This window comes from Homo sapiens, chromosome 22 (genome assembly GCF_000001405.40).
Source record: "Homo sapiens chromosome 22, GRCh38.p14 Primary Assembly".
NCBI classification, from domain to species: Eukaryota; Metazoa; Chordata; class Mammalia; order Primates; family Hominidae; genus Homo; species Homo sapiens.
Window position 1 is genome coordinate 20,388,408 of NC_000022.11, and position 26,847 is coordinate 20,415,254.

Below are 26,847 nucleotides of genomic sequence, written 5' to 3' on the forward strand. Positions count from 1 at the left end.
CCCCCAGATGTAGATGAAGCCACAAATGATGCCTGTGTGGACAGACAGAATGATGGACAGGCAGATGAATGTGAGGGTTTTATGTGAAACAAGTCCACTTGGTTGTTGACAAGATGCTGTTTTAAAGTTTCATTTTGCCATACTTTGAATAGCTTTTCATTAGCTAAATTTAGCCACATGTAAAATCACTAAGGCAGACACCTGGAGTTCCCATATGAAAATCAAATGTAAACCAGCAGTGACCTACTTCAATGTGATCATCGGAAGTCAGAAGTTGAGCTCATTTTTGATGTTTAAAGCCTGCATAATATTCACTGTGTTATTATTCAGTGTATTACTATTTCCTTCATGATGGAAATTTGGTTTGCCCCAACTTTCTATTCTATCAAAACACTGCTACATAGAAAATCCCCATGCACATATTTCTCCTAATTGTGGAAATATTTTACATAAAAGACTCTAGACATGGGATGAAATTCCCAGGTTATTGGAATTTTAAAATAGATAGGTACTCCCAAATTGCCGTCTTACAAATTATATGAATTCGTAAGCTTCCAACTGTTATGGAGTTACCCATTTTGAGAAATCTGTGCTAAAAGGACCCAAACAATGCTGATGACAATGATCAGGATAATAAGTACGCTGGGAAGACAACAAAATGATTTAAATCTTAGACAAGTCATTCTAGGTGTCTCCACTGTTTCAGTTCTTGCATTCATTCTTGTGGTATCTTTTCCCTTTTACCAATAAAAAAGCTCCCTGACATCACATTGTGGCAGTCCCCATGGTTTGCCGCAGTTACTGCGGGACTGAACGAAGGAGGACGAATGAAGAAATGAAAACCAAGGAAAAAAGGAGCTGTTTAAAGAAGGGTCCAGGGAAGAAGAAGAGGGCTCCCAGCTTCTAGTGAGCAAGGGCAGCAGCCCTGAGCTTCTACAGCCCTTCATATTTATTGAGTAGAAAGAGCAGGGAGCAGGAGGTAATGATTGGTCAGCTTCTCAATTGATCACAGGTTCACATTATTGCTAACAGGTTTCAGATGTGCCTAATCTCAAGAAACGCCGCGCCTGGGGCATGACTGCCCTCAGCATTCCCTCTGGGTGGCAGACGCAGTTTGCCAACATTCTGCATTCATGAGAACAGTTTACTGTTTACTCATATAACCTCCAGTGGTACACCGAGTTGATCATGACCCTCCCTCTTTCGGCCTGCAACATCACATGAATCCAATGAGTATTGGTTAGTAAAATGCCTATGACTAGTCATCTTCATCTATGCAATTAAATATTAATTCATCAAACACTTCAAATGTAAGCAATTAATAATTAGTGAATGAAAAATACATAATACATCAATTAGAAAAAAACTCTATTAAAAAGACATTTGTGTGATAAAAGAGATTGCCATTTTTGTATTTTTCTACAAAGTTAAAGAAAACTAAGTCAGCTTATATAAGTGAATTTTAAAAGCCTTTAGGCCAGGCATGGTGGTTCATGCCTGTAATCCCAGCACTTTGGGAGGCCAAGGTAGGCAGATCACCTGAAGTCAGGAGTTCGAGACCAGCTTGGCCAACATAGTGAAACCCATCTCTACCAAAAATACAAAAATTAGCCAGGCGTGGTGGCAGGTGCCTGTAGTTCCAGCTACTAGGGAGGCTGAGGCAGGAGAATTGCTTGAACCCGGGAGACGGAGATTGCAGTGAGCCGAGATGGTACCACTGCACTCCAGCCTGGGCAACAGAGTGAGACTCCATCTCAGGAAAAAAAAAAAAGGGCATATATATCCATTATTTCACTGGGCCTTCACACAGCCCTGCTAGTCAACCCTCGAGAATTGAGGAATCAGAGAACTTAGGAACAAGAACATGACCTGGGACTTCTTATGTAAGTGAGAATCTTAGGCTAAATTGTCTTGCGGTAAATGCCTTTCCCATCCTCAGAAGTCTATAGTGAGCAGAAAGCAGTAACAGCATCCTCCCTTCCACTCTTCCCTTCAGGCTGAACACATCCCTGTCCCTACAGCCTTTGCAGAGACACAGGTGACAGAGCACTCAATATAGAATCCCTGGGCTCACACTGGCTTTCCTACAGACACAGGGGATCCATGAGGCCCACAGTGACATACACATGTACACAAGGATGCACGTACTGACACTGATGAGCCCTGGAAGTCAACACAGAGTGGCATACAGAAGAACACATGCAGGCACACACACAGCCACAACTGGACCTGCGAGGTCTACAGCCCCACAAATGAAAAGAGGTGCATACCATCTCACAACAAACTAGAACTTTGAGAGAACCACACACACACACAGGTCTACAAATTCACCTGAACAAGACGCCGTCCATAGTCACTGGCGTAAGGCATCTACTCACTATCACACAGAACACACTCAGGCAAGCAGACATAGATGATACATCCACAATCTACAGAGATGAACTGCAGAGTTACATGCACAGATATGCCAGTCATACATTCAGATCTGTGTAAACAGTGAGGCACACACACACATACACATGTGCACTTATACAGAAAGACTCAGACCCAGCCAGGCATGGTGGCTCAGGCCTGTAATCCTAGCACTTTGGGAGGTCGAGGCGGGTGGATCACGAGGTCAAGAGATTGAGACCATCCTGGCTAACATGGTGAAACCCCATCTCTACTAAAATTACAAAAAAATTAGCCGGGTGTGATGGCGGGCACCTGTAGTCCCAGCTACTCAGAAGGCAGAGATTGCAGTGAGCTGAGATTGCGCCACTGCACTCCAGCCTGGACAACAGAGCGCGACTCCATCTCAAAAACAAAAAAAGAAAGACTCAGACCTGACCTGTTAGTCAACAGCCAGATGCCAACAGATAATCACATTAGACTCATCAGCAAGCACACCGTGCACACAAGTTCCACTCCCATGTACAGGTTCCTGTCCCATGTACACAAGCCTGCACACAAACACGTATCCAGACTCCAGAACTGTTGAGACAGTGCCCACATACACACTCATAGAGTCACCTGTGCACAGGTGCACGTACACATTGTTTCACAGAGGCACACCAGGACAGAAACACATAAGAAATGTGAGGCAAAAGCGGACCCACACCTACACCTGTAAGATACACAGAGAAACAAACACATACACAAACTTACACATAGACTCATGCACTGTGTAATCAACAGTTCTATACCCCACCAAGGCTCTTGTCCTGGTGTGTCCAGAATTGGTGGGTTCTTGGTTTCACTGACTTCAAGAATGAAGCCACAGACCCTCGTGGTGAGTGTCACAGTTCTTAAACGCAGCGTGCGCGGAGTTTCTTCCTTCTGGTGCGTTCGTGGTCTCGCTAGCTTCAGAAGTGAAGCTACAGACCTTCGCAGTGTTAACAGCTCATAAAGGCAGCGTGGACCCAAAGAGCTAGACACAAAAGTTCTCCACGTCCCCACTAGATTAGCTAGATACAGAGTGTCCACTGGTGCATTCACAAACCCTGAGCTAGACACAGAGTGCTGATTGGTGCATTTACAAACCTTGGGCTAGATACAGAGTGCCAATTGGTGTATTTACAATCCCTTAGCTAGACATAAAGGTTCTCCAAGTCCCCACCAGAGTAGCTAGATACAGTGTTGATTGATGCATTCACAAACCCTGAGCTAGACACAGAGTGCTGATTGGTGTGTTTACAAACCTTGAGCTAGATACAGAGTGCCGATTGGTGTATTTTCAACCCCTTAGCTAGACATAAAGGTTCTCCAAGTCCCCAGCAGAGTAGCTAGATACAGTGTCGATTGATGCATTCACAAACCCTGAGCTAGACACAGGGTGCTGATTGGTGTGTTTACAAACCTTAAGCTAGACACAGAGTGCCCACTGGTGTATTTACAATCCCTTAGCTAGACATAAAGGTTCTCCAAGTCCCCACCAGACTCAGAAGCCCAGCTGGCTTCACCCAGTGGATCCCGCACCGGGGCCGCAGGTGGAGCTGCCTTCCAGTCCCGCGCCGTGCGCCCGCACTCCTCAGCCCTTGGGTGGTCGATGGGACTGGGCGCCGTGGAGCAGGGGGCGGCGCTTGTCGGGGAGGCTTGGGCCGCGCAGGAGCCCACGGCGGTGGGTAGGCTCAGGCATGGCGGGCTGCAGGTCCCGAGCCCTGCCCCGCGGGGAGGCAACGAAGGCCCGGCGAGAAGTCGAGCACAGCAGCTGCTGGCCCAGGTGCTAAGCCCCTCACTGCCCGGGTCCGGCTGGCAGCTCCGAGTGCGGGGCCCGCTGAGCCCACGCCCACCCGGAACTCGTGCTGGCCCGCAAGCGCTGCGCGCAGTCCCGGTTCCCGCCCGCGCCTCTCCCTCCACACCTCTCGGCAAGCTGAGGGAGCCGGCTCCGGCCGCAGCCAGCCCAGGAAGGGGCTCCCACAGTGCAGCGGTGGGCTGAAGGGCTCCTCAAGCGCGGCCAGAGTGGGCGCCAAGGCCGACTAGGCGCCGAGAGCGAGCAAGGGCTGTGAGGACTGCCAGCACGCTGTCCCCTCTCACTGGGTTGCTATTAAAAATGGGCGCTGAATATAAAAATTAACCGGGCGTGGTGGTGCATGTCTGTAAGTCCCAGCTACTCCGGAGGCTGAGGTGGGAGAATAGTTTGAGCCCGAGAGACTGAGGCTACGGTGAGCCGTGATTGTGCAACTGCACTCCAGCCTGGGCGACAGAGTGAGACCCAGTCTCAAAACAAAATCAAACACGGGCGCTGCCCTGGGCAGGGGAGGTCTGGGCACAGCTGTGCTGATGTGGGCAGTGGACAGGTGTCACGTGAGAGCCTGTGGCCAAGCCTAAGCTGCGGTTAAGGTGGGAGGCTGAAGGGTTTGGAGTGTGCACCACCCCGGACCACCTCTCAGTAGGAATGTGGCAATGCACTTCGGTGCTGGATTCCTACTTCTGGCTGTGTGATTTGCGACACGTTACCCCACGCACCTGTACCACAACTTCCTCATCTCCCAAATGGGATGACAGTAGTTAGCAAACCTCCCTGGACTGCTGTGAGCATTCTGCCAGAAAAATGTACTCCAAGCTCTTGAAGTAGGCCTGGCGTTTGGTTGGTGCTCAGTACATATTCAATGTTTCTGTCGCTGGCGTCATCACTGTGTTCATGGCAGAGCTCTGTGCCGCCAGGACTGGGCCGCCACCCAGACCTTCCTTTCCCGCCCCAGGGGTGAACTGTGGACAGGACCCTCTGGGGGGACTAGGCCAAGGCTCTCCCACCTCTGGGGACCCGCGCCCATGGGCCTCAGATATGTGGCTCGAGAAGGGGGAGTGGGGGCAGGGCCCCTGGAAAACCCCTCGAGGCCAGACCCACCACTCCCAATATCCGTAAGACCAGGGGCTTGAGTCTTTCCTGCAGACAGATGTGGGCAGGAACCCACCCGACTCCCAGCTACGTGGGGACGTGGACGAACTAACAGGACAAATTCTAGTTCCTGGACACCGCCCTCCCAGTATCCTCGCAATTAGACACCCATGCAGCGGCACTACACTGATCCGCACACGGAGATACACAGCGACATCCGCCCGCAAGAGCATGGTGGGTGCCGGAGCTCCCGGCTGTGGGCCCAGGAACTACATTTCCTAGAAGGATGTGCTAGATACTCGTTCGCGTCGGGACGCAAGCACCGGCCCGAACTCGCTCTAGGAAATGGAGTCTGACGCCTGCGCGGCGCAAACGCTCCCGGGAGGTGTAGTTTGCGCCTATTTCGCGCAGGCGCGCTTTCCCGCAGCGGCCGCCTGCTGCTCTTTGTGGCAGTCGCAGTCCTTTTGTGGGAGTCCGGTCTGTCCACTTGCCGGTCCCTCAGACCGTCGGCGGTCTCTGTCCGCTTCGGGACCTGTCCGCTGGTCGCTCCGCGTCCGATGGCTCCTGGCCGCGGAACCTTAGGCCTGGCCCTGGTCTCCGAGCGCGGGTTCGCCGGGAGGAGCGTGTGGCGGGGGTGTGCCGGGGCGTGAGTGCGCCGAGCATGGGGCTGAGCCTGGTGTGGGGAGTGGGTATCTGCGGAGCCGGCCTGAACCCCACCTCAGCCGGGCGCGGGGAGGGGGCTCCGTGCGTGTGATCGTGCAGCTGTGAGCGCGTGGCCGCCCCGCGGGGCTCCGCTGCAGGCCCCTCAGCCCCAGGAGCAGTACTCGCTCTTCAGGGCCTGCCCTGGATCCTGGAGGCTACACAGCTGCCCACTCCTCCTGGGGAGGCTGCCGTGGAGGCCATGGAGATCCCTGCCCCGGAGCCCGAGAAGACAGGTACAGCTTCACTCTTGTAGTCAGTATGTCTGTGGATTTGCACTTGAGGATATTGACACTCAGAGAGATCAGGCCAGTTTCCCAGAAGCATCCAGCATCTTTTTTTTTTTTTTTAAATGGAATCTCACTCTGTCACCCAGGCGGGAGTGGTGCAATGGCTTGATCTCCGCTCACTGCAACCTCTGCTTCCCGGGTTCAAACTATTCTCCCGCCTCAACCTCCCAAGTAGTTGGGATTGCAGGCGCGCGCCACCACGCCCGGCTAATGTTTGTATTTTTAGTAGAGACGGGGTTTTGCCATGTTTCCCAGGCTGGTCTTAAGCTCAAGCGATCCGCCCGCCTCGGCCTCCCAAAGTGCTGGGATTACAGGCGTGAGCCATCGCTCCTGGCCTCCTGCTTCTTTCTTCCCCGCGCCCAATCATTTGTTCCCACTCAGACGTGCTTGATTGGGGGTAGCAGCTCTTTTCGTCATGAATTGGAGTGTCTGAGACACAGGCAGATTATTCCTCGATGCTGTTTCTGTTGGTGCTAGCTACTGGGGCTCGTTCCCCACCTGGCCTTGCTGGCAGGTTCTGCCTCCTCTCTGATTCTCACTTGTGCCACGACAGGTGGGCTTTAAGCTCAGCCGTGAGCCTGGTAGCCGTGACCTTGACTCATTTCTCCTTCGCCAGCTCTTTCCTCTCAGGATCCTGCTCTTTCCCTGAAAGAGAATCTCGAGGATATATCGGGTTGGGGTCTTCCCGAAGCCAGGTCCAAGGTGAGTGGCTGTGTGTTCTTCCTTCTTTATGAAGAGGGTTGGCACATTCCCTCCCCAGCCCTGGATCGTCAGCCTTCCACAGACCTTCACCCGGGTACCTGCTGGCCAGTCCTCAGGAAGCTCTGGGCAGTGGGAACAGCTCCAAGTGAAGAGTCCAGATGTTGCCCGAGGTGTGCCCTCGAGATGTGCTCTATTGAATGTCTCGCCCAGTCCAATTCAGTGGGTCAGTTGCTGGGGATCTCTCTGCCCAGCGCTGTGCTGGGAGCTCTGAGGAGTGGTTTTAGTGGAATCTGAGAAAGTAGTTGACGGCTCACATGGGGTCGCTTTGCCTATCCACGTGCTGGCCAGGGGTTGGTGCAGGATGTTTGCACGGTTGGTTTACTGGGACTGGAATCAGACAGGGGCACGTGGAGCAGCTCAGGAAGGGCTGGATTGCAGCACTTGGTTAAGAGTGGCGGTAGGGGACACATCCCTGTGTGCTTTCCTCTGTACCCAGCCCCTGGCATGGGGCCTTCATGGAGAGTCCTGGAGATTTAGAGAATCTGGGGGCTCAGCAAGGAATTGGCCCTGGGAACTTCTGCAGCCAAATGGGACCCAGATCCCTCCTTTTACAGACTGTGAACTCTGTTCCTCATTTTGTTTTTCTACCGCAACCACCTCACCCCATGGTTGTATTTAGAAGGGTGCAGTTGACAAAGAGAGCACAGTAGAGTGAAAGATGTGGAGGAATAAGGGGTCTTTGGGTTTTTGTTTTTTTTTTAGCATTTTGTGATTTTGTCAGTCTGCCACTCAAAAGAGGTGATGGCAGATTATAGCCAGCTAGAAACAGCTGCAAAACGTGTATTGTGAGCTGTGCCTCACTTCTGTAGTGTGTCACAATGCTTTATAGTCCTCAAGAAACTTGACAGTCAAATGCAATGCATGTTCCTTGCTTAGGGGATAGATCCAAAAAAATTGATAAAGGGCAGTTTGGGACAAGAGGAAATTTGAAAATGGGCTGTATCTTAGGTCATATTGTATCAATATGAAATTTATTGCATGTGATAATAGTACTGTGATTATGTAAGAGAATATCCACAGGAGATACAAGCTGAAGACTGTAGAGTGAGACATCATGATGTCTGCAACTTACCTTCAAATGGTTCAGCAAAAAAAAATGTGTGTGCATGTATGTATGTCTGTATGTGTCTGTGCAGCTCCGTCTAGGTGGTAGGGCCCTCATGCATGTGTTATTCCTATTCCTAAAATATTAGCTTGTTAGATCTTTGAATAACCAGTTGACTCTCCTGAGTACACATCAGCTTTGGCATTTTCTCTTGACAGTCTCATTCTCACTCACAGTTCAAGTTGTTCTGTCTCCTGGGACATCTTGTGTGGTCTGTTCTGACTTCTCTGCTAGTGTCATTACCACATCAGCATCTGATTCCAATGCATACTGTCTGGGTTTTTTATTCCTTTCCCTGCAGAATGATGACACATTAGACATGGACTTCTCCCAGTGGCCAGAAATACCCATCAAAAAGGCCTGTGCGGGCCTCAGACCCTACCCTACTCTTGCTGGTTTTGCTCCCCACACTGAAGCCATGTAGCCTCTGACAGCCTCACTGGCCAACACCATATTCTGATACCTGTGGAGCTATTTTTTTGTTTTTCTTTCTTTTTCTTTTTTTTTTTTTGAGACAGAGTCTTGCTCTGTCGCCCAGGCTGGAGTGCAGTGGCACAATCATAGCTCACTGCAGCCTTCAACTCCTGGGCTCAAGCAAATCCCCCACCTCGGCCTCCTAAGTAGTTGGGACCAACGTGTGTGCCCCCACACCTGGCTTGGAGCCTTGTTTCAGCCCATTTTCTCCTTCCCTCGGCTATCGTCATCCTTCATGCCTGCATGCCTCAGTTAGGGGTGTGTTCTCAGCATTTGTCCTCATCTCTACCTCCTCATCTGAAATCCAGTGTTTTGGGGGGTAAGGTTTTATTGAGGTGTAATTTATATACAGCACAGTTGTACAATTTTAAGTATACAATTTGATGAGGTTGAGCAAACGTATACAGTTGTGTAACCAGCACCACAATCATGATATGGGACGTTTCCATGACCCAAAAATGTCCTCATGCCCCTGTGCATTCAGTGGTCTCCCCTCTCCCCTTGGTAACCACTATAGTTTTGCTGTAGATTTTCCTCTTTAAGGATTTCATATGGAATTTATATTATGTGGTCTTTTGTCTCTGCTTTATTTCGCTTAGCATATGCTTTTGAGTTTATCCATATTGTTGTGTGAATCAGTAGTTTGTTCCTTTTTATTGGTGAGTAATATTCCATTTGTATTAGTCTGCTAGGGTTGCCATACAAAGTATGGCAGGAGGGCTTAAATGACAGAAATGTATTTCCTCACAGTTCCAGAGGCAAGAAATCTGAAATCAAGGTGTCAGCAGGGTTGATTTCTTCTGAGGCTTCTCCTTGGCTTGTAGATGGCCACCTTTTCCCCGCATCTTCACATGGTCTTACCTCTTCTATGTCTGTGTCCAAATTTCCTCTTCTTATGAGGACACCAGTTATATTGGATCAAGGCCCACTGCATTGAATTCATTTTAACTGAATTACTTCTTTAAAGAACCTCTCTCCAGGCCGGGTGCAGTGGCTCACGCCTGTAACCCCAGCATTTTGGGAGGCTGAGGTGGGTGGAACACTTGAGGTCAGGAGTTCAAGACCAGCCGGCCAACATGGTGAAACCCTGTCTCTACTAAAAATACAAAAATTTAGCTGGGCGTTAGTTCTCGCCTGTAGTCCTAGCTACTCAGGAGGCTGAGGCAGGAGAATCTCTTGAACCCAGGAGGCAGAGGTTGCAGTGAGCTGAGATTGCACCACTGTACTCCAGCCTGGGTGACAGAGTGAGACCATGTCTCAAAAAAAAAAAAAAAAAAAAAAAACCTCTCTCGGAGTTACCAAGCATTGAGACATAAGAATTTGAGGTGAGGGGTATACATTTCATCCCATTGCTCCATTGGATGGAGCAAACTGCTCCGCAGTTTGCTTATCCATTCACCAGCCGATGGACATTTAGGTTACTCATAGGCTTTTGCTATTACAAATAAACCCGCTATAAATATTTGAGTACACGTATGGCTGTGCATTTTAATTTCTCTTGCATAAATACCTAGGTGTGAAATTGCTGAGCCATATAGTAAATATATGTTTGTCAATTTTATTGATCTTTTCAAAAAACAATTTTTTTGTTTTATTGATTTTTCTCTATTTTCTGTTTTCCATTTCAGAGATTTCTGATCCTTATTATCTCCTTGGTGTCTTAAGATTGAAACTTACTTTACTTACTTTAGTGTCTTAAGATTGAAACATAGATATTGATTTGATACCTTTTTTCCTCATATAGCATTCAGCGTTGTAAATTTCTAAGCACTGCCTCAACTATATCCTACAACTTTTGTTATGTCACATTTTCACTTTTATTCAGCTCAAAATAGCTTCTAATTTCCCTAGTGATGTATTCTTCAGCCATATGTTATTTCAGAATGTGTTGTTTCATTTCCTAATATTTAGGGCATTTTCCAGATAACTTTCTATTATGGATTTCTGATTTAATTCTATTGTCATCAAAGAATGAACTTTGTGTGATTTAAAGTCTTTCAAGTCTACCAAGATTTATTTTATTTCCCAGAGTGTGGTTTATCTTGGTAAATGTTCCACATGCCCTTGAAAAAATATGTATTATGCCTTTGTTGGTTAGAGTGTTATGTAAATATCAGTTAAGTCAAGTTGAATGATGGTGTTTTTTAATTGTTCTGTCAGTTTTTGCATTATGTATTTTGAAGCTCTTTTAGTAGATACATTTATATTTAGGATTGCTATGAGTTCTTAATGAATTAACTGTTTTATCATTATGTAATATTCTCTTTGTCTCTGATAGTCCTCTCTCTGAAATCTACTTTGCTATTACTATAGGCACTTGAGCTTTTTTTTTTTAAATTAGTATTTGCAGGGTTTATCTTTTTCTATCCTATCACTTTTAACCTATCTTTGTATGTAAAGTGGGTTTCTGTAGCTTGCTTTTTGAATTCAGTTTGACAATCTCCACCTTTTAATTGGAGTGTTTAAACTATTCGCATTTAGTGTAATTATTAATATGGTTGGATTTACATGTCCTTTTTTTTTTTTTCTTTTGACAGAGTTTGGCTCTTGTCACCCAGGCTGGAGTGCAGTGGCGCAATCTTGGCTCACTGCAACCTCCACCTCTTGGGTTCAAGCAATTCTCCTGACCTCAGGTGATCTGCCACCTTGGCCTCCCAAGTGCTGGGATTATAGGCGTGAGCCACCCCACCCGGCCTTGCTATTAGTTTTCTATGTCTTATGTCTTTTTTGTTTCTCATTTCCTCCCTTAATGACTTCTTTTGAGGTAAACACATACTGTTCTAATATACTCTTAATTCCTCTGATTTCATTAATATTTTTCACCTTTTAGTTATTTGATTGGATGCTGGACATTGTGAATTTTACTTTGTTGAGTAGGTTTTTGGAATTCCTTGTTTCTGGGATTTGTTCTGGGATGCAGTGAAATTACTTGGCATCTATTTGATCCTTTCAAGGATCAAAGCAAGTCTGGAGTTGGGTGGTGGCCAGGATGCCCAGGCCCAGGGGGAGCAGGCAGGAAGGATTGGAAGGCAGTCAGGTGAGGACTGCAGGTAGCCTCTCTTAGTCCCTTGGGGCACAGAACTTGCTGATATATACAAGGTTTCCTTCCTTAGAGTGTAATAACAGTTTCTAGTCTGGGATCGGATCCTTTTGCGTTACTGAGCTTTGAATAGAGTTGCTGGGATTTTTGTACTATTAATATTCTCTCAAATTTTTAAGTTTGAAATTCTTGACTCCAGGAAGCATAGCATCTCACCCAGGACTTAGAGCCTGATACAACAGCCATGTACAGCCCCTGGGTCCCACCGCAAGTTGCCAGGGCCCTGTGGTGTCTATTCAGACCTGCTTTCCCAATCTAGAAGGTGGTGTGGGAATGCATGCCAATTCCCAGCCCCCCTCCCTGCCCCTGGTCCCCGAATTCAGTCATGGTCAGTGTCTACAGCACAACCTTCTGGCATGGGAGAAGGTCACCTGAGGTTAACCCTTTACTTGTAGGGTCCTTAATCAATCTCTGGCTCCTTTGGAACCATGGACACAGAATCAGTCCTGGGTGAGAACCTATATGTCATTTCAGGAATCGGTGAGTTTCAAGGATGTGGCTGTGGACTTCACCCAGGAGGAGTGGGGTCAACTAGACTCCCCTCAGAGGGCCTTGTACCGGGATGTGATGTTGGAGAACTACCAGAACCTTCTTGCCCTAGGTAAAATCCCCCCAGCCCCAGGCTGGGCGTCGGCTGTCAGCCTTCTTCTACATGGTAGATATTAAGGAGAATCCCTTCAGTGCCGGCCCTGGTGCCAGATATATCATGGGGTGGGAAGCAAGGCCTGTGCCTTGGGGCACTCATGGCCAGGGGCCTCGGCCACGCCAGAAGTCCCCAAGGGACAGCGTGGGAGCTGGTAGCATCCTTGCTTGGTGTTTCCCCTGGTCCTGGGATAGGGGCAGGGAGAGAAGAGAAGAAGGTGGGACCCTGGAGCCCAGCTGGCTCTGGAACAGTCCTCAAGCAATGAAGTAAGGACGTCAGCACACGTGGGGTCTTCAGAGTATACACTGGGATTTGGGTTCCAGTCTGAGACCCTCACTGCTTTTGGCCCAGAGGACCTCCTGTTCCCAGAGAGGGTGTCCACTTCACAGGCATTGTCCTTGTTAGGGGGCGGCCTGTAAGGTCGACTGGGCCTGGAGAGCTGCAGCATGCCCAGCCCACTTTCTCTCCACGAGCAGGACCTCCACTGCACAAGCCAGATGTGATCTCTCATCTGGAACGAGGCGAGGAGCCATGGAGCATGCAGAGGGAAGTCCCCAGAGGGCCCTGTCCAGGTGAGCAGAGGCACAGGTGGAAGGGTGCCAGCCCCAGCACCCCTGGTGGCACCTCCTCCTATGGCCCCTATTTTCCTCCCTCAGTTTGCCCCGGCTCCATCTCCCCTTTTCAGGTCCCCCGCCAGACCCTCCTGCCTGCCTCCCTTCAGCACGTACTGAGCACTGCCTGTGTGCTGAGACCTGTTCTGGGATACAACAGGGAACAAACCTGGCCACTGGGACCAAATGGTCACCTGCTGATGGGGATGGGGAGGCAGGAATAGAAATATTGAGCCATTGGTGTTGGCTGGGCAGCCGGGGGTGTGGGATTGGGGGCAGGGGGCCACCAGGGAAGGGGCAGCTGGCGTTGGTCAGTGTCAGGGTCAGCATGAGCATCAGCATCAGGGCCAGCGTCAGCGTCAGGGTCAGAGCCAGCATCAGTGTCAGGGCCAGCGTGAGCATCAGCATCAGGGCCAGTGTGAGCATCAGTGTCAGGGCCATCATCAGCGTCAGGGTCAGAGTCAGCATCAGCATTAGGGTCAGCATCAGCGTCAGGGTCAGGGTCAACGTCAGCGAGGGCTTCCAGGCTGTGGCCAAGATGGCAGCCCTCCGTAAGGGAAAGGGGACTGGGGTGGGTGTTGAGCAGAAGGTAGTCTGCTTTTCTTCTCCAACATTCTTTTTGTAGACTTCTCTTCTGAGTTGGTTGATAAATAAGTGGTAAATTCGGCTTAATTTATTGGACAGTGACTGCTGAGCATGTTAGGTGTCTAGAAAGCTCGAGAAACACCTTTCTGTGGGAAAGGCAGCCGATAAGCTGTGGAGCACAGAACACGGGGGTCGGGGAAGGCAGCCCCTCCTCCATCCCCCTCCACTGCCACATACCACCCAGCCCCAACCTGCAACAGTGGCTGCAGCCCCAGCTTTCTGGTCTTTATTTCTCACCCCAGCCTCTGATGCTTGCTTTGTCCTCTTTAACAAGATTACAGGTTTCAAAAAATTCATATTTTTGTTTGATTCATATATGAATATACTGAAAATGAGGCTGAAAGGTTACTGAAATCCTGCATAATCTTTCCACCCAGAGATGACGGTTCTCTAATAACTGACCATGTCACTGATTCCTCTGGGCCCTTCCTCTGTGTGCGGATAGACTTCTAAAGCTACATGTGGCCAGGCGTGATGGCTCACACCTGTAATCCCAACACTTTGGGAGGCCGAGGCAGGCAGATCACCTGAGGTCAGGAGTTCGAGACCAGCCTGACCAACATAGAGAAACCCTGTCTCTACTAAAATTACAAAATTAGCTGGGCATGGTGGTGCATGCCTGTAATCCCAGCTACTTGGGAGGCTGAGGCAGGAGAATCGCTTGAACCCAGGAGGCAGAGGTTGCGGTGAGCTGAGATCGTGCCATTGCACTCCAGTCTGGGTAACAAGAGTGAAATTCCATCTCAAAAAAAAAAAAAAAAAAAAATTAGCTGGGCGTGGTGGTGAGCACCTGTAATCCCAGCTACTCTGGAGGCTTAGGCAGGAGAATTGCTTGAACCCGGGAGGCAGAGGTTGCAGTGAGCCATGATCGCACCATTGCACTCCAGCCTGTGTGACAGAGCTAAACTCCATCTCAAACAAATAAATAAATAAAGCCTTATGCACCCTCGGAAGCACAGCACTCACGCCGGAGTCTGGCTACCACACTGGCCATGGCATAGTGAGCGTCCTCACGTGATGTTTACTGATTGCACAGTATCCCTTAGATGAATGTGCCCTGCTGTGTTGTTGGCCCTATTGCTGCCAAAACAACTTTTTTCTGGCCTGGGCCTCTTCTCTCTGCTCTGTGCAACTTCCCTAGACTCTTACCTCTCACTTGGTGTGGATGTGGTCTACACTATAGCAACACCAGCTGAGCTGCAGCCCTGTGTCACTGACCATCTCGTGGGCCTCTGCTTGCATGTCTAAAACCAGACTTGGAACTGGCCCTTCCTCCTCCTTTATAAAAGCTTCCACCATCCACCCAGGCTTGGGTGTTTGCTGAGGTCTCATCCTCTCCCCCATTTCCTCTCTTGCCACCTTCAGTCAACAGCTAGGGCCATCAGTTTTAGCACCTAAATGGCTCTTAGATCTGCTGCTTCCTGTTCATTTTCACAGCCTTGGTTCCAGTCTGAAGTTGCCATTTTTCACCTGAATTATTCAGATGGCCTCCCTAACTGGCCTCCCTAACTGCTGGCTCCAACCACCTTACACACCACCAAAGCCACCTTCAAGACAAACCATTATGCCAGGCACAGGGACTCACACATCTAATCCCAGCACTTTGGGAGGCCAAGGCAGGAGGACCACTTGAGCCCAGGAGTTGGAGGCTGCAGCGAGCTGTGATTGCACCCCTGCACTGCAGCCTGGACAACAGAGCGAGACTGTGTCCCCGCCCTCTGCTTCCCCCGCCCCCCGTCAAGACACCATATGATCACATCACCCTCTGTGCAAAAGGCCTTTCTTCCCCGGCTGCCCTCTGAGTCAGGCATCTGGTCACCTCGAACCCATCCACCTTGCCAGGGTCACCTCTCAGCCTTCCTGCCTCTGCGTGTCTTGTCTTCATCTTACTGTCTCACCTCTGAGCTTCTGCACATGCTGTTCACTCTCCACCTGGCTACCTGCCATGTGTGCCATGGCCAGTTCCACTTGCCCTGCTCTTCTGCATGTGTTGGGGCCACAGGCAGCACCACCATGCAGCTCTGCCCGCTGCACTAGACTGCTCCCTTTTAAGCCTGGGGAGGACAGAATTAGAAATAAAATCTCCTGCCAGCTCAGAAAACCTTGCTATAGAGATAGAAAAGAAAGAAAGCCTTCTTATTGAATAAGTGTTTAACCAGATGTGGTGTACAGGAGAGAAAGAAACCTCCCCCTTTGACAGAGGAGACACATCCAACCCAGCACACAGGGCAACTGTCTTCACCTAAAGGAAGAGTACAGCTTTTTGGGTTTTGTTTGTTTGTTTGTTTTTTGAGACAGGGTATCCCTCTATTGCCCAGGCTGGGGTGCGGTTGCATGATCATAGCTCGAAGCCTCAACCTCCCTAGGCTCAGGTGATCCTCCCACCTCAGCCTCCTGAGTAGCTGGGACTATAGACAGGTACCATCATTCCTGGCTAATTTTGTATTTTTTGTAGAGGGGTCTCACTGTGTTACCCAGGCTGGTCTTGATCTGGGCTCAAGTGATCCGCCACCTTGACCTCCCAAAGTGCTGGGATTACAGGTATGAGCCACCGCGCCCAGCCTCTTGTAGCTTTTTGACAAGCAGGAAGTTACATCTTGGACTCGACTCTTGGACTAGGCTCATTTTGCTTCTGAAAAGGTTTGCATGCGTCTCGAGACAGAGAAAGCATTTGCAATTCCCAGTGTTCTAAAGGGAAGCGCTGGGGTGTGGGGAGCCCTTTTTTCCTTTTGGCACCACAGACAATTTTTAATTCATTTGTTAGTCCTAGCTACTCGGGAGGCTGAGGCCGGAGAATGGCGTGAACCTGGGAGGCGGAGCTTGCAGTGAGCCGAGATCGCGCCACTGCACTCCGGCCTGGGCGACAGAGCGAGACTCGGTCTCAAAACAAACAAACAAACAAAAAACATGTATTTGTCCTGTGTATTGCGAGCACCTGCCATGGTATTGATACAGAGCAGTCGGTCAGCCGACGTGTCCGTGAATGAGTGTAATCCTCATCAACAGCTCCCAAGCTTGCCCCTTTCTCAGCCCCCTTGGTGCTTGTAGCTGTTCCTTCCGGGATTCCTTTGGCTTCTCCGCCTCTCCCGGTCTTTGCTCTCTGGTAGCTCCTTCCGTGTTCTTCCTCTCCCTTCTTCCCGCTCTTGCTTGCCCATCTCATCCTGGGCGCTCCCTTCTCTCTGCCTGCACCTTCCAGCCTTGGCCCTGGTGGCCTCTCCTCTCTTTTCTGGGCTTATCTGCATCTCCAGGCCAATTCTCAAATCTGAATTCTAGGCCAGGTTTCCGCTTGCTCACAGAAAATCATTTTCAATATCTTACAGAATGGGAGCTGAAGGCGGTGCCCTCTCAACAGCAGGGCATTTGCAAAGAAGAACCGGCCCAGGAGCCCATCATGGAGCGGCCCCTCGGCGGGGCGCAGGCGTGGGGGCGCCAGGCAGGTGCTCTGCAGAGGAGTCAGGCTGCGCCCTGGGCGCCCGCACCTGCCATGGTCTGGGACGTCCCTGTAGAGGAATTCCCCCTCAGGTGTCCCCTCTTCGCCCAGCAACGCGTTCCCGAGGGGGGACCCTTGCTGGACACACGCAAGAACGTCCAGGCCACTGAGGGCAGAACCAAGGCCCCCGCGAGACTGTGTGCAGGGGAAAACGCCTCCACGCCAAGTGAGCCAGAAAAGTTCCCCCAGGTGCGCCGGCAGCGCGGGGCGGGCGCCGGGGAGGGCGAGTTCGTGTGCGGCGAGTGCGGGAAGGCGTTCCGCCAGAGCTCCTCCCTCACGCTGCACCGGCGCTGGCACAGCCGGGAGAAGGCTTACAAGTGCGATGAATGCGGCAAGGCCTTCACCTGGAGCACCAACCTTCTGGAGCACCGGCGCATCCACACCGGCGAGAAGCCCTTCTTCTGCGGCGAGTGCGGGAAGGCCTTCAGCTGCCACTCGTCCCTCAACGTGCACCAGCGCATCCACACGGGCGAGCGGCCCTACAAGTGCAGCGCCTGCGAGAAGGCCTTCAGCTGCAGCTCGCTGCTCAGCATGCACCTGCGGGTGCACACCGGCGAGAAGCCCTACCGGTGCGGCGAGTGCGGCAAGGCCTTCAACCAGCGTACACACCTCACACGCCACCACCGCATCCACACGGGCGAGAAGCCCTACCAGTGCGGCTCCTGCGGCAAGGCCTTCACCTGCCACTCATCCCTCACCGTGCATGAGAAGATCCACAGCGGGGACAAGCCGTTCAAGTGCAGCGACTGCGAGAAGGCCTTCAACAGCCGCTCGCGCCTCACCCTCCACCAGAGGACGCACACGGGCGAGAAGCCCTTCAAGTGCGCCGACTGCGGGAAGGGCTTCAGCTGCCACGCGTACCTGCTCGTGCACCGGCGCATCCACAGCGGCGAGAAGCCCTTCAAGTGCAACGAGTGCGGCAAAGCCTTCAGCTCCCACGCCTACCTCATCGTGCACCGGCGCATCCACACAGGCGAGAAGCCCTTCGACTGCAGCCAGTGTTGGAAGGCCTTCAGCTGCCACTCGTCCCTCATCGTGCACCAGCGCATCCACACCGGTGAGAAGCCCTACAAGTGCAGCGAGTGCGGCAGAGCCTTCAGCCAGAACCACTGTCTCATTAAACATCAGAAAATCCACTCCGGGGAGAAGTCGTTTAAGTGTGAGAAATGTGGGGAGATGTTCAACTGGAGCTCGCACCTCACTGAGCACCAGAGGCTGCACAGCGAGGGGAAGCCCTTGGCCATCCAGTTCAACAAACACCTGCTCAGCACATACTACGTGCCTGGCAGCCTGCTGGGTGCAGGGGATGCTGGACTGAGGGACGTGGATCCCATCGACGCGCTGGATGTGGCAAAGCTCTTGTGCGTGGTTCCCCCCAGAGCTGGCAGGAATTTCTCCCTGGGGAGCAAACCTCGAAACTAACATGATGTGCTTTGGTGTCAGTAGCTGCTTTCTGAGCTACTCAACAAGGAAAGCACCCTGGTCCTCCCTGGCTCCTAGATCCAGACCACCTTCCTCCAGGTGTGGGAGCCTTGCCTTATCACCCCCATCAGGTCTGCATGCCAGGGTGCCTCCTCTAGTTAAAGTCAGTCACCTCCCCAGAAGGGCCACACTCCAGGAGGAGTGTTGAGAGTCATTTGAGGTAGTCTTGCCACCTGTTTTCCTTGATGGGCCTGGAAGTTGTTGACAAGGGGAAAGATCTTTCTTGCCAATAAAAAGAAGGGATATCGTTGGGTGCCATGGCTCACACCTGTAATCTTAACACTGTGGGAGGCCAAGGCAAGGGGATCACTTGAGCCCAGGAGTCTAGGACCAGCCTGGACAACATGGTGAGACCTCGTCTCTACAAAAAATGCAAAAATTAGCCAGATGTGGCGGCATGTCCCTGTGGTCCCAGCTACTCAGGAGGCTGAGGTGGGAGGATCATTTGAGCCTAGGAGGTCAAGGCTGCAGTGAGCCATGATTCACAGCACTGCACTGCAGCCTGGGTGACAAAGCAAGACCCTGTGTGAAATTAAAAGGAGGTATATCAACTGTTGTATCCTCGGACGGGCTCCTGACACGGCTTTAATCAGGAGTTTCCTCCATAAACTATTATTTTCAGAATAATAATAAAACAAGAATTATGACTAGCATCACTTTCCAGTGAACATTATTATATTGCTAGAGAGGAGAATAATCTTGGGTGGTGGGCATTTGGAAAAAGTGAATTTCCTGGACTTAACTCATGTAAATAGCTCTACTGCAGAGCTGTGTGTTTAGTGACAGTGCAGTCAGGGGCATTCCCACAGCTGTCACAGCACGGCCCAGCATCATTGTAGCCAGATCCTAACATGCCAACATCACCTCTTGCCATTTAGCCCCTAGTGAGAAATTGGGAGCTACCAGGCAGGTGCCCAGTGCATTCAGGGAAGATGGGCACAACATCAGGATGGGTGTGTCTGGAAGCTCCTCTTCACTGACCAGGGCTGGGCAGGGCCACCCTGGGCTGGTGAGGCTGCCCTGCAGGGCTTCTCACTATGTAGCACCAGTCACCAGCCCAGGTCACAGAAGAAGCCCCTCCCAGCACCCACTGGAGAGGGGAAGCTGAAGCCCAGGGAGACGGGCTCCATGGTGGTCCCACATGGAGCTGTTTTGCAAACCCTGGAAAAGGCGGCTCTCCCTGTCCCAACACTCTTCAGAGACAGGAAGACAGAGTTAATCTTGAATGAATGTTATTTCTACTTAGTCCTAAGCAAGAATAAGCTGCCCTCTTGGTGATCATACTTTATACGGAGTGCTATCGTTTATGAAATGCTTTCAGTATGCTTTTTAAATTATGCAGGCAAAATAACCACACTTCAGAAAATGTGGACTTCTGAAAAATAAAATCCCCATAATTCTTAATAAAACTGCCTTTTGCACTTTGATACATTACCCTCTGCTTTGTTCATGTAGAACTTTGCATTATTTTCAACACAGTGTATCTATAGTTTTTATCTTTTTTCCCTCTTTAGCTTTGTAGCAGATTTTTTTTTCAAGCATCTAAACTGTCCTCGTTATACTTCTTTTTTTTTTAAATTATACTGTAAGTTCTAGGGTACGTATGCACAACGTGCAGGTTAGTTACATATGTATACATGTGTCATGTTGGTGTGCTGCACCCAGTAACTCGTCATTTAACATTAGGTATATCTCCAAATGCTATCCCTCCCGCCTCCCCCCACCCCACAACAGGCCCTGGTGTGTGATGTTCCCCTTCCTGTGTCCATTGTTCAATTCCAACCTATGAGTGAGAACATGCGATATTTGGTTTTTTGTCCTTGCGATAGTGTGCTGAGAATGATGGTTTCCAGCTTCATCCATGTCCTTGTTATACTTCTAAACAGAGGCACAGTGTTCTCTCTGGTCTCTTAGATACTCTTTTGTTGGATGTTGAAGTTATTTCCATGGTGCAGTGGTGTGATCACAGCTCACTGAAACCTCAACCTCCCTGGCTCAGGTGATCCTCCCACCTCAACCTCCTGAGTGGTTGGGACTTTGGGACTACAGGTGTGCGCCACCACGCCCAGCTAAATTTTTGGGGGGGGCAGGGGGTCTCGCTGTGTTGCTCAGGCTGGTATTGAACTCCTGGTCTCAAGCGATCCTCCCACCTCAGCCTCTCAAAGTGTTGGGGTTACAGGCATGAGCCACTGCACCCAGTCTATTGATCTTTCTTTTTGAAAAATATTTGAATATGCCCTTTGTCCCTCTTTATATTGGAGTCTTGATGTTTTTCTTTTATGTATGTAAAAACTTTTCCCTGATTATGAATATTATATGTATACTGCAGAAAATTTTTAAAAATCACAAAATCATAATAAAAATGACCCTCAGGTTCCAGCTCAGTGGCTCATGCCTGTACTTTGAGAGGCCAAGGCAAGATTGCTTGAGCCCAGGAGTTCAAGACCAGCCTGGGCAACATAGGGAGATCCCATCTCTACAAAAAATACAAAAAAAAAAAAAAAATTAGCTGGGCATGGCGGTGCGTGCCTGTAGTCACAGCTACTCTGGAGGCTATGGTGGGAGGATCACTTGAGCCCAGGAGGTCAAGGCTGTAGTGAGTCATAATGGCACCACTGCACTCCAGCCTGGGTGACAGAGCAAGACTGTCTCAAAACAAACACCTTCAGAATCAGTTCATGGATCATTACCATTATTAACATTTAGATGCGTTTTCTTGCAGTTGTTTTCTATGCATGTATACATATCTTTTTTCTTTTAAAAGAAAATTAGGCTGGGTGCGGTGGCTCACGCCTGTAATCCCAGCACTTTGGGAAGCCGAGGTGGGCAGATCACCTGAGGTCAGGAGTTTGAGACCAGCCTGGCCAACATGGTGAAACCCCTGTCTCTACTAAAAATACAAAAATTAGCCGGGTATGGTGGCCGGTGCCTGTAATCACAGCTAGTCAGGAGCCTGAGGCGGGAGAATCGCTTGAACCTGGGAGGTGGAGGTTGCAGTGAGGCCAGATTGTGCCATTGCACTCCAGCCTGGTCAACAAACAAGAGCGAAACCCTGTCTCAGAAAAAAAAAAAATTAGATTCATATTCTACATATTATTTTTATCATTTTCCATTTAACATTTTATGATAAGCATTTTCTATGTTATAAAATATTTTCAGACATAATTGGCCACATCATTTTCTGTCTTACAGTTGTATCTTAATTTATCTATTCCCTTACTATTGAACATCAAGATTGTTTGTGCCTATAAATAATTATTTAACATAGGCCTCTGTTCCCATCTTTGATCATTTCCTCTGAGTACGTTCTGAGAAATGCAGTTAACTGGTGAAGGTTATGAACACTGAAGCTCGTTGGTGTTCCTGGGTGGAATCTGATCTGGTGGACCTGCTGTGAGCTGTTCCCATCGGCTCTGACATGACGCTGTGAGCTGTTCCTCCCTGGACGAACATGTTCCTCCCATGACGCTGTCACCACTCCCTGGCCAGCATGGGGTCGTTCCGGCCTTGATTTTTATATCTGCCATTTTGAGGCTTTAAGAATGTTATTTGTCCCTGCTTGTTGGCCGTTTGTTTTTCTCTTCATATGTGTGGTCTGTTCTTGTCTTTTGTCCACTATTCTCTTTGGTTTATTTCACACACACACATACACAGAGAGACACACAGATGCATAAATGACATACACATACACACATAAACAGATGCATAAGCACAGACACACACACACACATATATATCCCCTTGGCATGTACATTTTCTGTCTTTGTTACAGCATTTTTAATGCCCAGAGGTTTTCTTTTTCTTTTTTCTTTTCTTTTCTTTTTTTTTTTTTTTTTATGAGATGGAGTCTCCCTCTGTTGCCCAGGCTGGAGTGCAGTGGTGTGATCTCGGCTCACTGCAAGCTCCGCCTCCCGGGTTCACGCCATTCTCCTGCCTCAGCCTCCCAAGTAGCTGGGACTACAGGCACCTGCCACCACGCCCAGCTAATTTTTTGTATTTTTAGTAGAGGCGGGGTTTCACCGTGTTAGCCAGGATGGTCTCGATCTCCTGACCTTGTGATCCGCCTGCCTCGGCCTGCCAAAGTGCTGGGATTACAGGCGTGAGCCACCGTGCCCGGCCAAAAAGGACTCTTAAAACTCAACAATAAGAACATGAACGGCTGGGCACAGCCGTTCATGACACAGATGGCTGTGTCATGGGCCATAGAATAATTTAAAAAACAATAAAAGTCTCAGCTGGGCACAGTGGCTCATGCCTATAAACACAGCATTTTGGGAGGCTGAGGTGGGAAGATCACTTGAGGCCAGGAGCTCGAGACCAACATGGACAACATAGCAAGACTCCATCTCTACCAAAAAAACAAAAAAAATTAGTTGGGCATGGTAATATGCACCTGTAATCCCAGCTGCTTGGAGACTTAGGCAGGAGGATTGCTTGAGCCCAGGAGTTCAAGTCTAGTGAGCTATGATTGTGCCACTGCACTTTAGCCTGGGCGACAGAGCAAGACCTTGTCTCAAAAAAAAAATTCTATTTTTTAATAAATGGACCTGAATATTTTACCGTAGGTCTTCCCAAAGGGTCCAGGGATGCCATCACCCGATTGCATAGCTAGAAAGCGGATGGACTTTTTAGTAAGTGTGGGTTCTAGTAAGTGTTGCCGCACTGAAGAACATCTCTGGCCAGGCGCGGTGGCTCACGCCTGTAATCCCAGCACTTTGGGAGGCCAAGGTGGGTGGATCACTTGAGGTCAGGAGTTCAAGACCATTCTGGCCAACATGGTGAAACACTTCCTCTACTAAAAGTACAAAAATTAGCTGGGCATGGTGGTGGGTGCCTGTAGTCCCAGCTACTTGGGAGGCTGAGGCAGGAGAATCGCTTGAACCCAGGAGGTGGAGCTTGCAGTGAGCCGAGATCATGCCACCGCACTCCAGCCTGGGCAACAGAGCAAGACTCCGTCTCGAAAAACTAAAAAAGAAGAAGAACATCTCTGCTCTCAGCTTAGGTCCTGGGCCCCTAAAGTCAGCGAGGCAGCCATTGTCCTAGGGTGATACGATGACATGGATTTGGGACTCCCTGGAGGAGGCCACACACACACAAAATGCAACTCTACAAGGGGAGGGAACAGAAACTGAAACAGGTATCTGCAATGTGCCTGGATCCGAATTTCAAAATGTGTTGAAGAATTATGGATTTACACCATGAGAAAAGCACTGGTTGGCTTTTGTGCCTGCTTCACTTTGGCTCTGAGTTAACTTCAAACACTGCCAAACACAATGCTAGCACATGGTGACCCTCAAACTAATAATTTATAAGATGGGATCCACTTCCCCGGTGGAAGTGGCCACATGCTGCCCTCTCCCCACCCCCACGGCATACTTGGGCATGACCTGCAGCCTTTTGTTGCCATCCAGGTTCGTGTTCATTCTGCTGGTGCAGTAAATCAACCACTATGACATGGTTTTGCAAAAAAGAAAAGATTTATTCACAAGGGCACTGATCGGGGAGGTGGATCCTTTTTAAGTCCTTAAGTCTTTCGTCCCCCGAAGATAAGTAACAGCTTCCTTCTGTGTGAGCATGGCTGGAGTTCATGGCATTTCACAAGACACGTGTACAGAAGAGGGTAGCATTAGCATTTTCCAAAGGCGGAGTTTTTGGCCCTCCAGTGTCAAAAGGCCACCTTTCGGGCACTTGTGCAGGCCCAATTGAAGGGTTGGTGGTCTCAACCAGTTTGAACTGGACAGGAGCTGGCCCAAGTTCCTGAAAAACAACTGAAGAAGCCGGCACCATGGTGACTTATGCATGTTATCTATACAGTAGCCAGGGAAGGTTAAGTTTCAGCATTCAGCGGCAAGGCTTTCAGCTACTGTGGCCCTTAAGCTTCACAGAAAAAGGAGAAAAAAAAATTAAAAACCAAATGACCCAAAAGCAAGCAGAGCAGGCAGACCTGGCCAAATTAACCCTTCAGTTTCACTTTCCCTTGCTCTGTTGGGCATTTGTGGCTTGGAAAATGGCCCCCTCCTGCCGCAGACAGACCCTTTACTGCTGACACCAATCATTACATTGATCTGTCGTGGTTCAGTGCACCACTGCACTCCAGCCTGGGCAACAGAGTGAGACCCTGTCAAAAAGGAAAGGAAAGGATAGGAAAAGGGAAGAGAAGAGAAAGGGGAAGGGGCAAGGGAAGGGGAAGGGGAAGGGGAAGGGGAGGAGGGAGGGAAAGAAAGGAAGAAAATAAAAGAAAGAAAAGAGAAAAGAAAAGAAAAAGAAAAAAAGAAAAGAAAAGAAAATGCACAGTGAGTTAGATTTGGCCTGGAGGCTGTAGCTTGCCAACTCCTCCTCTGGATTCATGGATTAGAGTTTAAGGAAGAGATGGAGAAGTATGGCAGAAGAACTGGAGTGAGGCCGAACCCCGTGGTGTTCTAGAAGAAAGGCTCTTGACACAAGCATCTGGCAGTTATTTTTCAGGGGAGAACCTACAAATTATAAGGCTGTGCAGCTCCCCTTACTAGTCAAGTGATTACACTTTTGTTTTCTTTTATTTTTTTTTAGAGACAGGATCTCCCTCTGTCACCCAGGCTGGAGTGTGGTGCCGCAGTCACAGCTCACTGCAGCCTCGAACTTGTGGGCTCAAGTGATCCTGCCTCAGCCTCCTGAGTAGCTGGGACTACAGACACACTCCACCATGCCTGGGTAATTGTTTCTAGTTTTGTAGAGATGAGGTCTCCTTGTGTTGCCCAGAATGGTCTTGAACTCCTCGCCTCAAGCAATCCTCCCACCTTGGCCTCCCAAAGTGCTGGGATTATAGGTATGAACCACCATGCCCGGCCTCATGTGACTACTCCTACAGAGGCCCTCGATGGCCTGGAATGATTGATTCCAGGACCCTGTCTTCTCATCCCAAAGCACCAAACCCTACTGACAAGGAAAGAGCCCCCATTTCAGAACTTCCATGGCCACCCCCCAACCCTGGGATTGGCAACTTTGCAACCTGGGCTTCTCCGATAATCAGATTTACGGTAAGACCCCAAAGAGGTCCAGGCGCTTCTAAAACAAGTTAGACAGAGAATCCAAACCCAAATCCTCAAGATGTGAGCCCACATCACATCCCCCAAAATAGAGCATCCGTGACCACTCCAGCCTTGCTAGGGACACAGCATACTCCTTGACCCTCACCAAAGGACAATTGCTCTCACAAACACGGGGATCCACTGGTTCCCACGCACTAAGCAAACTTTTATGGCCTTAATTGACACTGTTTCCCCAGAGACCCCACTAAATGTAAGGGAGGAACCCTCTCTGTTCCCTGGGACATAAGATTGAAGGCAAACAAGTCCGCCTTAGCCTGATCACTGGTGCAATAGCTTTGCAGAATATTCCAGTGGTCTCAGTTCTTTCTGCTCTTGAATTTCTATCACTGGGACAGATGCTCCAATTGGAATAAAACCCACACTTTGTCCCTTACTGTTGGTCTTGGCAGATGAGACCCTGAGGACCTGCCCAAGCCATTAAAATCATTAATATGACCCAAAATAAATTAAAACAGGGACTTCAAGGATTGAGAGAAGGGGTGACCATCCCCTCTGTTTCTCCATTTAACAGCCCAATTTGACGTGTTCTTCAAATGGAAAAGAACAAATGACATCTCACAGTCGATGCTGAAACCTTAACCCAGGGGGCCATGGGGGCCCCAGCCCCTGCAGACTGAAAGGATGGAGCCCATTCAGTCTTTTGCTGGCCGATATTTTGCTATTTTTGCTTCCTTGCAGTGTTCCACAGTACCTAATTCAACAGGCTCTCAGCCTCTACTCCCATTCTATTTATTGTGGTAAAATATATAACAAAATTTACCGTTTTAACCTTTTTCTTTCTTTTTTTTTTTTTTTGAAACAGGGTCTCACTCTGTCACCCAGGCTGGAGTACAGTGGTGCCATTGCAGATCACTGCAGCCTCAACCTCCTGGGTTCAAGTGATCCTCCCACCTCAGCCTCCTGAGTAATTAGGATTACAGGCTTAAGCCACCATGCCCAGCCTACTTTAATCATTTTTTAATTTTAATTTTATTTATTTTTTTAAATTTTACTTTAAGTTCTGAGATTCATGTGCAGAACGTGCAGGTTTGTTACATAGGTATACACATGTCATAGTGGTTTGCCGCAGCTGTCAACCCGTCATCTAGGTTTTAAGCCCTGCATGCCTTAGGTATTTCTCCTAATGCTGCCCCTCCCG

The 26,847-nt window shown here is 49.4% G+C and overlaps 1 protein-coding gene across 5 annotated transcripts, besides 10 other annotated features; it reads left to right on the plus strand.

Moving 5' to 3' along the window:
* Window positions 4,854-5,843: an enhancer, noted in NCBI's record as "H3K27ac-H3K4me1 hESC enhancer chr22:20747551-20748540 (GRCh37/hg19 assembly coordinates)". NCBI's record gives its function as "activates a minimal SCP1, AML or CMV promoter by ChIP-STARR-seq in naive H9 embryonic stem cells {active_cell/tissue: H9 hESC(naive)}" and the evidence as "EXISTENCE:reporter gene assay evidence [ECO:0000049][PMID:30033119]".
* Window positions 4,854-5,924: a biological region, named in NCBI's record as "H3K27ac-H3K4me1 hESC enhancer GRCh37_chr22:20747551-20748540".
* Window positions 5,245-5,314: an enhancer, noted in NCBI's record as "active region_18676". NCBI's record gives its function as "activates an Ori minimal core promoter by ATAC-STARR-seq in GM12878 lymphoblastoid cells {active_cell/tissue: GM12878}" and the evidence as "EXISTENCE:reporter gene assay evidence [ECO:0000049][PMID:35858748]".
* On the plus strand, window positions 5,744-20,048 carry ZNF74 (zinc finger protein 74). 5 transcript variants are annotated; one of them, NR_046282.2, is made up of 6 exons: window positions 5,744-6,255; window positions 6,926-7,011; window positions 11,188-11,283; window positions 12,225-12,351; window positions 12,870-12,965; window positions 16,970-20,048. NR_046282.2 is itself a non-coding variant. In NM_001256524.2 (6 exons), exons 2-6 carry the CDS (start codon window positions 6,222-6,224, stop codon window positions 18,559-18,561), a joined length of 1,935 nt encoding a protein of 644 aa, NP_001243453.1. In that variant the 5' UTR covers window positions 5,744-5,927; window positions 6,156-6,221; the 3' UTR covers window positions 18,562-20,048. The 5 variants fall into 5 exon arrangements, 4 of the variants coding, with proteins under 4 accessions (NP_001243453.1, NP_003417.2, NP_001243454.1 ...); NM_001256524.2 differs by lacking the exon at window positions 11,188-11,283 and having other exon boundaries at window positions 5,744-5,927; window positions 6,156-6,255; NM_003426.4 differs by lacking the exon at window positions 11,188-11,283.
* Window positions 5,785-5,924: an enhancer, noted in NCBI's record as "active region_18677". NCBI's record gives its function as "activates an Ori minimal core promoter by ATAC-STARR-seq in GM12878 lymphoblastoid cells {active_cell/tissue: GM12878}" and the evidence as "EXISTENCE:reporter gene assay evidence [ECO:0000049][PMID:35858748]".
* Window positions 16,623-16,792: an enhancer, noted in NCBI's record as "experimental_62654 CRE fragment used in MPRA reporter constructs". NCBI's record gives its function as "activates a minimal promoter by MPRAs in K562 erythroleukemia cells, with activity observed for both the introgressed and non-introgressed 22:20759405 or rs77462388 variant alleles {active_cell/tissue: K562}" and the evidence as "EXISTENCE:reporter gene assay evidence [ECO:0000049][PMID:34662402]".
* Window position 16,708: a transcriptional cis regulatory region, noted in NCBI's record as "Neanderthal adaptively introgressed variant 22:20759405 (GRCh37/hg19 assembly coordinates) or rs77462388 in the experimental_62654 CRE". NCBI's record gives its function as "modulates activity of the experimental_62654 enhancer by MPRAs in K562 erythroleukemia cells {active_cell/tissue: K562}" and the evidence as "EXISTENCE:reporter gene assay evidence [ECO:0000049][PMID:34662402]".
* Window positions 16,890-17,059: an enhancer, noted in NCBI's record as "experimental_62657 CRE fragment used in MPRA reporter constructs". NCBI's record gives its function as "activates a minimal promoter by MPRAs in K562 erythroleukemia cells, with activity observed for the introgressed 22:20759672 or rs3747076 variant allele {active_cell/tissue: K562}" and the evidence as "EXISTENCE:reporter gene assay evidence [ECO:0000049][PMID:34662402]".
* Window position 16,975: a transcriptional cis regulatory region, noted in NCBI's record as "Neanderthal adaptively introgressed variant 22:20759672 (GRCh37/hg19 assembly coordinates) or rs3747076 in the experimental_62657 CRE". NCBI's record gives its function as "modulates activity of the experimental_62657 enhancer by MPRAs in K562 erythroleukemia cells {active_cell/tissue: K562}" and the evidence as "EXISTENCE:reporter gene assay evidence [ECO:0000049][PMID:34662402]".
* Window positions 21,993-22,215: a silencer, noted in NCBI's record as "fragment chr22:20764690-20764912 (GRCh37/hg19 assembly coordinates)". NCBI's record gives its function as "represses an EF-1alpha promoter that drives an FKBP-Casp9 reporter gene in an ReSE screen in K562 erythroleukemia cells {active_cell/tissue: K562}" and the evidence as "EXISTENCE:reporter gene assay evidence [ECO:0000049][PMID:32094911]".
* Window positions 24,321-24,490: an enhancer, noted in NCBI's record as "experimental_62670 CRE fragment used in MPRA reporter constructs". NCBI's record gives its function as "activates a minimal promoter by MPRAs in K562 erythroleukemia cells, with activity observed for both the introgressed and non-introgressed 22:20767103 variant alleles {active_cell/tissue: K562}" and the evidence as "EXISTENCE:reporter gene assay evidence [ECO:0000049][PMID:34662402]".